Below are 13,933 nucleotides of genomic sequence, written 5' to 3'. Positions count from 1 at the left end.
CTAGTATAAAAAGTTCACTAAGACCTGGGTTCATGCAAGTTCAAAAGGTTACAAAATCAAACTTTCTTGACCCCCTTTTTAATCAACTGGTGCTGCAATGATTAACTCAATGTTTATTTTGAAAGTCACTGATTAGAGGAAATAATGAAATGGTGTATCACAGTACACATTCATGAATGTTGAACTGAATAATTTGCTTAGAGAGAAGTTTTTGAGGTGCAAAGGTTATGGGTACTAGCCTCTGCTCTACAACTTGCAGACACCATGTTCTTGGCGCAGATGATAAGTCCCTGAGTCTTGATATCCTCATCTTTAAAATGGGGATGATTTTACCATAGGTGAAGATAATTGAGAGAATCAAAAGTGATATAATGGGAGTGAACATTCTCTGTGAATTATCAGAGTCCCTGAAAACCTGAGGGTTAAACATTGTGTAAGTGGAGTCTTGACAAAAACTCAATTTTTCCTTATAAAACAGCTTAGAATAATTATGCTGACCAATTTAAAATAAATATGATAAAAAATTAAAATAAATATGTTAATATCTCTACAGTACATACCTTTGCACAAGCATTGCATTAGTTATCTAGCAATGTATATCATCCTAATGATACATAGGTCCTTATGCTCACTGAATTCCATCTCCCATTCAGGTTTGTATATTGTGGTCCTTATGTGCTATAAGTTTGTTTAATAAAGTCTCCTCTAAGAATAGACCACATGTTATGTACCAAAACAAGTCTTAAAATGTTCAAAAAATTGAAAAAATAAGCATCTTCTCTGACCACAACGGAATAAAACTAGAAATTAATAACGAGGAATTTAGAAAACTATACAAATACATGTAAATTAGACAATATGCTCCCGAATGACCAGTGGGTCAATGAGCAAATTAAGGAGGAAATTCAAAAATTTTTTGAAGGAAATGTTATTGGAAACACATTATACCAAAACCTATGGGTTACAGCGAAAGCAGTACTAAGAGGGAAGTTTGTAGCTATTAAGTGCCTACATCAGAAAAGAGAAAAAACTTCAAATAAACAATCTAACAATACATCTTAAAGAACTAAAAAAGAGAAAACCAAACCCAAAATTAATAGAAGAAAAGAAATGGTAATATCAAGGCAGAAATAAATAAAGCTAAAATTACAAAATTACAAAAAAATCAATGAAACAAAAAGTTGTTTTTTTTGAAAACTTAAACAAAATTGACAAACCTTTACCCAGACTAACAAAAAAAAGAGATAAGATCCAAATAGACAAAGTCCGAAATGAAAAAGGAAACATTACAACTGATACTTCAGAAATTCAAGAGATCATTAGTGACTACTATGAGCAACTACATGCCAATAAATTTAAAAATCTAAAAGAAATGGAAAAATTCCTAGATACAAACAGCCTACCAAGATGGAATTAGGAAGAAATCCAAAACCTGAACAGACCAGCAACAGGTAATAACATCAATGTCAGGATAAAAAGTTTTCCCATAAAGAAAAGCCCAGGACCTGATGTCTTCACTGCTGAATATTACCAAACATTTAAAGATGAAGTAATACCAGTCCTACTCAAGCTATTACAAAAAATAGAGGAAGAGGGAATACTTTCAAAGTCATTCCAGGAAGCCAGTATTATCCTGATACCAGAACCAACCAAAGATTCATATGAAAACAACTACAGAGCAATATCACTGTTAAACATTGATGCAAAAATCTTCAACAAAATACTAGCAAACTGAATTCAACAGTACATTACAAATGTCCATCATGACCAAGTGGGATTTATTCCTGAGAGGCAAAAATGGTTCAACATATGCAAATCAATCAGTGTAATACATTGTTTCAACAGAATGAAGAATAAAAACAATATGATCATTTAATTGATGCTGAAAAGCATTTGATAAAATTTAACATCCCTTCATGATAAAGACTCTCAAAAAATTGGGAATAGAAGAAACATACCTCAACATAATAAAAAGCACATATGACAGACCCACAACTAGTACATACTGAATGGGAAAAGACAGAAAGCTTTTGTTCTAAGATCTGGAACAAGATGAGGATGCCCATTTTCACCATAGTTATTCAACATATTACTGGAAGTCTGAGCTAGAGCAATCAGACAAAAGAAAAATATCAAAGGCATCCAAGTTGGAAAAAAAGTCAAATTATTCTTGTTTGCAGATGATACATCTTATATTGGGAAAAACCTAAAGACTCCACAAGAAAACTATTAGAAGTGATAAACAAATTTAGTAAAGTTGCAGGATACAAAGTCAAGATATAAAACTTAGTAACATTTCTTTATGCTAACAGTAAACAATGTGAAAAAGAAAAAATAGTAATCTCATTTATGATAGCCACACAGAAAATTAAGTAGCTAGGAATTAACAAAAGAAGTAAAAGATCTCTATACTAAAAACTATAAGACGTTGATGAAGGAAATTGAAGAGGACACAAAAAAGTGAAAAAAATTTCATGTTCATTGATTGGGAGAACCCATTTTGTAAAAATATATATTGTTAAAATATACTGCCCAAAGCATGCAGTTCCTTGCATTGCTACAGATTCAATGCAATTCCTATAACAATACCAATGACAGTCTTCACAGAAATAGAAAAAAAATTCTAAAATTTATATAGAACCATAAAAGACCCAGAATAGCCAAAGCTATTCTAAGCAAAATAACATTACTTGATTTCAAATTATACTGCAGAGCTATAGTAACCCAAACAGCATGGCACTGGTATAAAAACAGACACATAGATCAATGGAGCAGAATAGAGAACCCAGAAATAAATCCACTCTCCTACAGCAAACTCCTTTTTGATAAAGGTGCCAAGAACATACCTGGGGTGAAAGACAGTCTCTACAATAAGTGGTGCTGAGAAAACTGGATAGCCATATGCAAAAGAATGAAACTAGACCCCTATCTCTTGCCATATACAAAAATCAAATCAAAATAGATTAAAGACTTAAATTTAAGACCTCAAATTATGAAACTACTACAAGAAAGCGTTTAAGACAATCTCCATGACATTTATCTGGGCAAAGATTTCTTCAGCAATACCCCGCAAGCACAGGGAACCAAAGCAAACATGGACAAATGGTATCACATCAAGTTAAAAATCTTTTGCACTGCAAAGAATACAATCAACAAAGTGAAGGGACAACCCACAGAATGGGAGAAAATATTTGCAAGCTATTCATCTGGCAAGGGATTAACAATGAGAATATGCAAGGAGCTCAAACATCTCTATAGAAAAAAAATCTAATAATCCCATCTAAAAATTTGCAAAAGTTTTGAATAGACATTTCTCAAAAAAAGAAATACAAATGGACAACAGGCATATGAAAAGGTGCTCAATGTCAATTATCATCAGAGAAATGAAAATCAAAACTACAATATTACCTCACCCCAGTTAAAATGGCTTATATCCAAAAGACAGGCAATAACAAATGCTGGTGAGAATGTGTACAAAAGGACACCCAGGTACACTGTTGGTGAGAATGTAAATTAGTACAAGCACTATGGAGAACAGTTTAGAGATTCCTCAAAAAAAAAAAAAAAAAGAAAACAAAAACAGAAACAAAAATAGAGCTACCCTATGATCCAGCAATCCTACTGCTGGGTATATACCCAAGGAAAAGGAAATCAGAATATTGAAGAGATAGCTGCACTCCCATTTTTGCTGCAGCACTGCTTACACTATTCTAGATCTGGAAGTAACCTAAGTGTCCATCAACAGATGAATGGATAAAGAAAACGTGGTATATATATACACACACAATGAAGTACTTTTTAACCATTAAAAAGAGTGACATCCAGTCATTTGCAGCAACATGGATGGAACTGGAGATTGTTATGTTAAGCAAAATAAACCAAGCACAGAAAGACAAACATCACATATTCTCATTTATTTGTGATATCTAAAAATCAAATCAATTGAACTGATTGAACATAGAGAGTAGAAGGATGGTTACCAGAGGCTGGCAATGGTGGTGAGGGACTCGAGGAAAGGTAGGGATAGTTTATGTGTGCCAAAAATAGAAAGAATGAATAAGAACTACTATTTGATAGAAAAGTAGGGAGACTATACTCAATAATAACTTAATTCTATATTTTAAAATAATGTAAAGAATGAAATTGGATTCTCTGTAACTGAAATGATAAATGCTTGGGGGATAGATACCCCATTCTTCATGATGTGCTTATTTCACATTGCATGGCTATTTCAAAACATCCCATGTACCCCATAAATACATACATCATCTACTATGTACCCACAGAATTTTTTTAAATACTAAAAAAGTAAATAAAAAATAAAAAAATGAATTACATAAAAATAAACACAATAAAGTACATAAATATTTTGCTTGTGTTAAAAGTTATTTTTTGGAAAAATAAAAGAACCTCAATAACTCCTAAACATTACTAATCCATGAGAATTTATAATTTTTGTATCAAAATGGGACATATAAAATTTGCTTGCCTACATTTTTGCAGTTTATTTATTAGTTCTGTACTTATTGGAGACATTGAGATGATCAGTCCAGAAGTATTTGACAAGCACCTATTGTGTATATGGATGTGACCAAAGTTTCATGGAAGAATTAAAAATTAAATTGTTAAATAATTAGAATATACTAATTACACTGTTTTTAGTTAATAATAATCTAAGAAAGACAGAATGCATATGTCAGGTGAAATGGAAATACAAACAAGTTAAAAAATACAAATATAAATTGAAAGTAGGCATAATCATATCACACAGCATATGGAAGAGAGAGAAGGAAGGGTTAAACCTAGGAGGGCCTCTTGCAATCCCTGAGTTTTGATGTAGATCTTTAAATACTTGCACAAAACATAGGAGTGGGGATTTTAGATGAGTAGAATGGTGCTGTCAACTAAAGAAAAACATCTTCCTTTTAAAGAATTAAAGTTAATTTTATTCAGAGTCTTCCTGAGGACTGCAATCTAGGGTAGTTTTCAGAGTTTCTGTTAAAATACTCCAAAGTACTGTTTCAGCCAAGAGCTTATATACTGGTGGTGGAGGTTCTGCATGTGCTCATAAGTTACATCAAATGTGGTTAGAAGTTACATTAGAGCTAAACTTCATCAAAGTTTCAATGTAAAGGTAAATCTACTTATAAATTACAGATGCATAATTATTAAACCTGTAAGATATTATCTTACATACAGAAAAAGGCAAAGGCTATAATCATTAGACTTACAATTTTTAAAAATGCCATAATTCAGGAAAGATTATTGGAGACCTGTACTGTATCCTGCTTATAGCCTTCAAGTTATTCTCCCTGAAAGCTGCACTCAGTGGCTGAGTCAGAGTTTTGTGAATTCATGCTGACAAGTGGAATGAACAAACAGATTCTTCATGACAAGGGCTGACTATGTGGCTGGACAGAGCCATATGTTTGCTACTATTGTCTTGCAGTATGAAGAGATGTACAGAGGTATTTGGTGGCAAAAAGATGGAGGAGAGAAACCTTAATTGAGTGGAACCAAAAATGAATTTGAATAGATATGGAGTTGGGGATGTCTTTCAATAACCTGCAAACCTGAATGTTGACATGGAATGTTATTTGGTCAGGTATGCACCAGAAAAAGAGTTGAATGTGGATAATTATTAGAGGAAATTATAGTAGTTCTGTAGAATGATATATACAATGAGAATAGAACTCAGAGACCAGATTATGAGATTGTTCCTCTCTTTGGCCTCTGTCTTGAAGGAAGTCTGGATTATGGAAATGCAGATTCTATAATAAAGCCTGGCTCTCCATTCCAAGATGGCTGAATAGGAACAGATCTGGTCTGCAGCTCCCAGTGTGATCAATGCAGAAGACAGGTGATTTCTGCATTTCCAACTAAGGTACCTGGTTCATCTCATTGGGACTGATTGGACAGTGGGTGCAGCCCATGGAGGGCAAGCTGGAGGAGGGCAGGGCATCACCTCACCTGGGAAGAGCAAGGGGCCAGGGGATTTCCCTTTCCTAGCCAAGGGAAGCTGTGACAGTCTGTACCTGGAAAAATGGGACACTCCCACGCAAATACTGTGCTTTTCCCAAGGTCTTAGCAACTAGCAGACAAGGAGATTCTCTCCCATGCCTGGCTTGGCAGTTTGCACACCCACGGAGCCTTGCTCACTGCTAGCGCTGCAGTCTGAGATTGAACTGTGAGGCAGCAGGCTGACTGGGGGAGGGCGTTCACCATTGCTGAGGCTTGAGTAGGTAAACAAAGTGGCCGGGAAGCTTGAACTGGGCAGAGCCCACCGCAGCTCAGCAAGGCCTACTGCCTCTATAGACTCCACCTCTGTGGGAAGGGCATAGCTGAACAAAAGGCAGCACACAACTTCTGCAGACTTAGATGTCCCTGTCTGACAGCTCTGAAGAGAAAAGTGGTTTTCCTAGCACAGTGTTTGAGTTCTGGGAACAGAGAGACTGCCTCCTCAAGTGGGTACCTGGCCCCGTGTAGCCTAACTGGGAGACACCTCCTAGTAGGGGCCAACAGACACCTCATATAGGTGGGTGCCCCTCTGGGACGAGGCTTCCAGAGGAAGGATCAGGCAGCAATATTTGCTGTTCTGCAATATTTTCTGTTCTGCAGCCTCCACTGGTGATACCCAGGAAAAATCTGGAGTGGACCTCCAGCAAACTCCAACAGACCTGCAGCTGAGGGACTTGACTGTTAGAAGGAAAACTAACCAACAGAAAGGAATAGCATCAACATCAACAAAAAGAACATCTACACCAAAACCCCATCTGTGGGTCACTAACATCAAAGACCAAAGGTAGATAAAACCACAAAGATGGGGAGAAACCAGAGCAGAAAAGCTGAAAATTCTAAAAACCAGAGCACTTCTTCTCTAAAGGATCACAGCTCCTCACCAGAAATGGAACAAAGCTGGACAGAGAATGACTTTGACAAGTTGACAGATGTAGGCTTCAGAAGGTCAGAAATAATGAAAAACTTATCTGAGCTAAAGGAGCATGTTCAAACCCATTGCAAGGAAGCTAAAAACCTTGAAAAAAGTTAGACAAATGGCTAACTAAAATAAACAGTGAAGAGAAGACCTTAAATGACCTGATAGAGATGAAAACCATGGCACAAGAACTTCATGATGTATGCACAAGCTTCAATAGCCAATTCCATCAAGTGGAAGAAAGGGTGTCAGTGATTGAAGATCAAATCAATGAAATAAAGTGAGAAGACAAAGTTAGAGAAAAAGAGTAAAAAGAAATGAATGAAGCCTGCAAGAAATATGGGACTATGTGAAAAAACCAAATCTCTGTTGAATTGGTGTACCTGAAAGCAGTGGGGAGAATGGAACCAAGTTGGAAAACCCTCTTCAGGATATTATCCAGGAGAACTTCCCAATCTAGCAAGGCAGACCAACATTCAAATTCAGGAAATACAGAGAACACCACAAAGGTACTCATTGAGAAGAGCAAACCCAAGACATAATTGTCAGATTCACCAAGGTTGAAATAAGGAAAAAATGTTAAGGGCAGCCGGAGAGAAAGGTCAGGTCACCCACAAAGGGAAGCCCATCAGACTAACAGCAGATCTCTCTGCAAAAACCCTACAAGCCAGAAGAGAGTGGGGGCCAATAGTCAACGTTCTTAAAGAAAAGAACTTTCAACCCAGAACTTCATATCCAGCCAAACTAACCTTCATAAGTGAAGGAGAAATAAAATCCTTTACAGACAAGCAGATGCTGAGAGATTTTGTCACCACCAGGCCTGCCTTACAAGAGCTCCTGAAGGAAACAATAAACATGAAAAGAAACAACTGTTAACAGCCACTGCAAAAACATGCCAAATTGTAAAGACCATTGATGCTATGAAGAAACTGCAATGAACAGGCAAAATAACCAGCAAACATTATAATGACGGGATTAAATTCACACATAACAATATTAACCTTCAATGTAAATGGACTAAATGCCCCAATTAAAAGACAAAGACTGGCAAATTGGATAAAGAGTCAAGACCCATCAGTGTGTTGTATTCAGGAGACCCATCTCACATGCAGAGACACATAGACTCAAAATAAAGGGATGGAGGAAGATCTACCAAGCAAAAGGAAAGCAAAAAAAAAAAAAAAAGCAGGGGTTGCATTCCTGTCTTTGATAAAACAGACTTTAAACTAACAAAGATCAAAAGAGACAAAGAATGGCATTACATAATGGTAAATGGATCAATGCAACAAGAAGAGTTAACTATTCTAAGTATATATGCACCCAATACAGGAGCACCTAGATTCATAAAGCAAGTCCTTAGAGATCTACAAAGAGACTTAGACTCCCACACAATAATAATGGGAGACGATTAACACCCCACTCTCAATATTAGACAGATCAATGAGACAGAAGGTTAACAAGGATATCCAGGACTTGAACTCAGCTCTGCACCAAGCAGACCTAATGGACATCTACAGAACTTTCCACCCCAAATCAACAGAATATACATTCCTCTCAGCAACACATCACACTTATTCTAAAATTGACCAGATAATTGGAATTAAAGCACTCCTCAGCAAATATAAAAGAACAGAAATTACAACAAACTGTTTCTCAGACCACAGTGCCATCAAATTAGAGCTCAGGATTAAGAAACTCACTCAAAACTGCACAACTACATGGAAACTGAACAACCTACTCCTGAATGACTACTAGGTAAATAATGAAATGAAGGCTGAAATAAAGATGTTCTTTGAAACCAATGAGAACAAAGACACAATGTACCAGAATCACTGGGACACATTTAAAGCAGTGTGTAGTGGGAAATTTATAGCACTAAATGCCCACAAGAGAAAGCAGGAAAGATCTAAAATCGACACCCAAGCATTACAATTAAAAGAACTAGAGAAGCAAGAGCAAACACATTCAAAAGCTAGCAGAAGGCAAGAAATAACTAAGATCAGAGCAGAATGGAAAATATAGAGACACAAAAATACCCTTCAAAAAATCAATGAATCCAGGAGCTGGTTTTTTGAAAAGCTCAACAAAATTGATAGACCACTAGCAAGACTAATAAAGAAGAAAAGAGAGAATAATCAAATAGATGCAATAAAAAATGATAAAGGGGATATCACCACTGATCCCACAGAAATACAAACTACATCAGAGAATACTATAAAAACCTCTATGCAAATAAACTAGAAAGTCTAGAAGAAATGGATAAATTCCTGGACACACGCACCCTTCCAATACTAAACCAGGAAGAAGTTGAATCTCTGAATAGACCAATAAAAGACTGTGAAATTGAGGCAATAATTAATAGCCTACCAACCAAAAAAAGTCCAGGACCCGAAGGATTCACAGCTGAATTCTACCAGAGGTACAAAGAGGAGCTGGTACCATTCCTTCTGAAACTATTCCAATCAATAGAAAAAGAAGGAATCCTCCCTAACTCATTTTATGAGGCCAGCATCATCCTGATACCAAAGGCTGGCAGAGACACAACAAAAAAAGAAAAATTTAGACCAATATCCCTGATGAACATCGATGTGAAAATCCTCAGTAAAATACTGGCAAACCAAATCCAGCAGCACATCAAAAAGCTTATCCACCAGGATCAAGTCAGCTTCATCCCTGGGAAGCAAGGCTGGTTGAACATATGCAAATCAATAAATGTAATCCATCACATAAACAGAACCAATGACAAAAACCACATGATTATCTCAATAGATGCAGAAAAGGCCTTTGACAAAACTCAACAGCGCTTCATGCTAACAACTCTGAATAAACTAGGTATTGATGAAACGTATCTGAAAATAATATGAGCTATTTATGACAAACCCACAGCCAATATCATACTGAATGGGCATAACTGGAAGCATTCCCTTTGAAAACTGGCACAAGACAAGGATGCCCTCTTTCACCACTCCTATTCAACATAGTGTTGGAAGTTCTGGCCAGGGCAATCAGGAAAGAGAAAGAAATAAAAGGTATTCAATTAGGAAAAGAAGAAGTCAAATTGTCCCTGTTTGCAGATGACATGATTGTATATTTAGAAAACCCCATTGTTTCAGCTCAAAATCTCCTTAAGCTGATAAGCAACTTCAGCAAAGTCTCAGGATACAAAATCAATGTGCAAAAATCACAAGCATTCCTATACGGCAACAACAGACAAACAGAGAGCCAAATCATAAGTAAACTCCCATTCACAATTGCTACAAAGAGAATTAAATACCTAGGAATCCAACTTACAAGGGATGTGAAGGACCTCTTCAAGGAGAGCTACAAACCACTGCTCAATGAAATAAAAGAGGATACAAACAAATGGAAGAACATTCCATGCTTACGGGTAGGAAGAATCAGTATGGTGAAAATGGCCATACGGTGCAAGGTAATTTATAGATTCAATGCCATCCCTATTAACCTACCAATGACTTTCTTCACAGAATTGGAAAAAACTACTTTAAAGTTCATATGGAACCAAAAAAGAGCCCGCATTCCCAAGACAATCCTAAGCAGAAAGAACAAAGCTAGAGGCATCATGCTACCTGACTTCAAATTATATTATAAGGCCACAGTAACCAAAACAGCATGGTACTGGTAACAAAACAGATATATACACCAATGGAACAGAACAGAGGCCTCAGAAATAACACCACACATCTACAACCATCTGATCTTTGACAAACCTGACAAAAACAAGAAAAAGGAAAAGGATTCCCTATTTTACAAATGGTCCTGGGAAAGAAAACTGGCTAGCCATATGTAGAAAGCTGAAACTGGATCCCTTCCTTACAACTTATACAAAAATTAATCCAGATAGATTAATGACTTAAATGTTAGACTTAAAACCACAAAAACCCTAGAAGAAAACCTAGGCAATGCCATTCAGGACATAGGCATGGGCAAGGACTTCATGACTAAAACACCAAAAGCAATGGGAATAAAAGCCAAAATAGACAAATGGGATCTAATTAAACTAAAGAACTTCTGCATGGCAAAAGAAACTACCATCAGAGTGAATAGGCAACCTACAGAATGGGAGAAAATTTTTGCCCTCTACTGATCTGAAAAAGGGCTAATATCCAGAATCTACAAAGAATTCAAACAAATTTACAGGAAAAAAACAACCCCGTCAACAAGTGGGCAAAGGATATGAACAGACACTTCTCAAAAGAAGACATCTATGCAGCCAACAGACACATGAAAAGATGCTCATCATCACTGGTCATCAGAGAAATGTAAATCAAAATCACACCAGTTAGAACGGTGATCATTAAAAAGTCAGGAAACAACAGATGCTGGAGAGGATGTAGAGAAATAGGAATGCTTTTACATTGTTGGTGGGAGTTTAAATTAGTTCAACCATTGTGGAAGACAGTGTGGTGATTCCTCAAGGATCTAGAACTAGAAATACCATTTGATCCAGCCATCCCATTACTGGGTATATACCCAAAGGATTATAAATCATGCTACTATAACATGCATGCACACGTATGTTTATTGTGGCACTATTCACAATAACAAAGACTTGGAACCAACCCAAATGTCCATCAATGATAGACTGGATTAAGAAAATGTAGCACATATACACCATGGAATATTATGCAGCCATAAAAATGAATGAGTTCATGTCCTTTGCAGGGACATGGGTGAAGCTGGAAACCATCATTCTCAGCAAACTATCACAAGGACTGAAAATCAAACACTGCATGTTCCTACTCATAGGTGGGAATTGAACAATGAGAACACTTGGACACAGGGCAGGGATCATCACACACCAGAGCCTTTCATGGGATGGGAGGCTTGCGGATGGATAGCATTAGAAGAAATACCTAATGTAAATGACGAGTTGATGGGTGCAGCAAACCAACATGGCACATTTATACCTATGTATCAAACCTACACATTGTGCATGTGTACCCTAGAACTTAAAGTATAATTTAAAGATAATAAATAAATAAATAAAGCCTGGTTGTTCACGTTGCCATATCCTCAATGACCTATAAATATTAGCTGTAGTTAGAGGAGCATATGAGTGCCAAATAATAGGAGCCATGTGGGAAATTTTATTAATGATACTAGATATTGTATTTGATAAATTAAACCAAGAAGGGAAATGTTTGGATCATGAATTTGAATAATAGTAGAGTCAATTTGGACACTGGGATAAGAGTAATATAGATGTTATAAAGATAAATATAGGTGCAAAGTCTTCTTTAAACTGGGGAGAGACCCAACCAGAACAAACTGAAAACAGCTAACTCTAGACAAGAAATTTTTTACCTAAGGCCACTAATATTTTATTCAGTCACTTCATAGTACTGGAAAGAAATGAGGAATCAGTCAGTGAAAATGGCAATGAGTCGATAATGCTGATGAAGGTGACTTTCAAAGAATTGTCCATGAATATGACCAGTACCACTCAAATTATGTGTTCCAGATGGAATGAAGTAAAGGTGGAATAGTTCGATACAATTGGAGGGGAAAGAAGCAAATTGTTCCTACTCTTTGCCTTCTTTCTCCAAGGTCAATGATTCTTATCTTTTGGAAATCAATTAATTTTAGAATCTCATTAAATGTATGAACACCTTACCAGAAGAATGTAACTACATGAGTTCCCAGTAGTTTTCACACATTTATATGGGTTTTCTTAATGCTGTGGAGCCTCTCCACTAATCCAAGGTTAAAAAGAACTGTAAGGTCTCTGGTATTTCAGTTACCAGTGGCTATTTTCTCATTACTGTCTTTTAAAACTGCATTGCTCATTAGACCTCACTATAATATTCAGAATATAACTTTTTTTCTTTTTTGTTCTATTTACATAATATTTTTATTGAGGACAATTCATATACCATTTCTTCATACATTTTAAGTACAATTCATGGTTTCATTATTTTCATAGAGCTGTGCAGCCATGACAGAAATCAATTTTAGAACAGTTCCTTCAACCTGAAAAGATAACCAATATGCTTAACAGTCACTTCCTATTGTTCCCCAATTCTCCAGCTCTAGGCAATGCTAATCTACTTTGTGTATCTATAGATTTGCTATTCTGGACATTTTACATATATAGAGTCATACAGTAATTGATCTTTTGTTTCTGTCTTCTTTCACTTGCATAATGTTTTCAAGATTCATTGATGTCGTAGCACACATAAGTACTTCATTTCCTTATACGGTTGACTAATACTCTAGTGTGGATATATTATATTTTATGTTTCCATTCATTGATTGATAAACATTTTGATTGTTTCTATTTTTTGGCTATTATAAATAATGCTGGTATGAATATTTATGTACAAGTTTTTGTGTATATATATGTTTTCATTTGTTTACAGCATATACCTGAAAGTGGAATTTCTGAGTCATATGGTTACTCTATGTTTAATCTTTGGAGCAACTGTGGCTGGATCAAAGACACACCTATAAGAACTAAAAAGAAAATATTCCTACAAGAAAACATAGGCATAAAATTGGCTGAACCATTTTATATCCTCAGCAGCGTGTATGATGGCTTCCATTTTTTCATACCCTTGCCAATGCTTTTCATTATCTGTCGTTTTCACTCTAGCCATCCTAGTGGGTAAGAAGTGGCTTTTTATTTTGGTTTTAACTTGTATTTTCCTCATGGCTAATGAGGTTGGGCATTCTTTCATGTGCTTATTGACCATTTGTATTATCCTTTTATGAAAATATGTATTCAGATTCTTTGCATTTTTAATTGCATCATTATAATTTTTTAAGTTATTGAGTTGGAAAAGTTCTTATATATTCTTGATACAAGTCTCTTATCAGATACATAATTTGAAGATATTTTCTCCCATCCTGTGGGTTATCTTCTCTTTTCTTGCCAGTGCTCTTTGACATACAAAAGGTTTCTAATTTTTATAAAACCTAATATACTGATTTCTTTGGTTGCTTGTAGTTTTGGTATCATATTTAAGAAACAGTTGCCTA

At 35.9% G+C, this 13,933-nt stretch overlaps 1 long non-coding RNA gene across 1 annotated transcript in view; it reads left to right on the top strand.

Moving 5' to 3' along the window:
• Positions 1 to 13,683, top strand: part of LOC107984257 (uncharacterized) — a 125,247-nt gene extending 111,564 nt beyond the window's left edge. Inside the window, exons 9-10 of the long non-coding RNA XR_007062253.1 lie at positions 5,450 to 5,884; positions 13,315 to 13,683. This is a non-coding gene — a long non-coding RNA (uncharacterized LOC107984257). The remainder of the gene's footprint in view (positions 1 to 5,449; positions 5,885 to 13,314) is intronic.
• The last annotated feature ends 250 nt before the right edge of the window (positions 13,684 to 13,933 follow it).

The sequence above is a fragment of the Homo sapiens genome, chromosome 10 (genome assembly GCF_000001405.40).
Source record: "Homo sapiens chromosome 10, GRCh38.p14 Primary Assembly".
Classification (NCBI taxonomy): domain Eukaryota; kingdom Metazoa; phylum Chordata; class Mammalia; order Primates; family Hominidae; genus Homo; species Homo sapiens.
The sequence above is the reverse complement of the archived record's forward strand: the minus strand, read 5'-3'. Positions and strand labels throughout refer to the sequence as shown.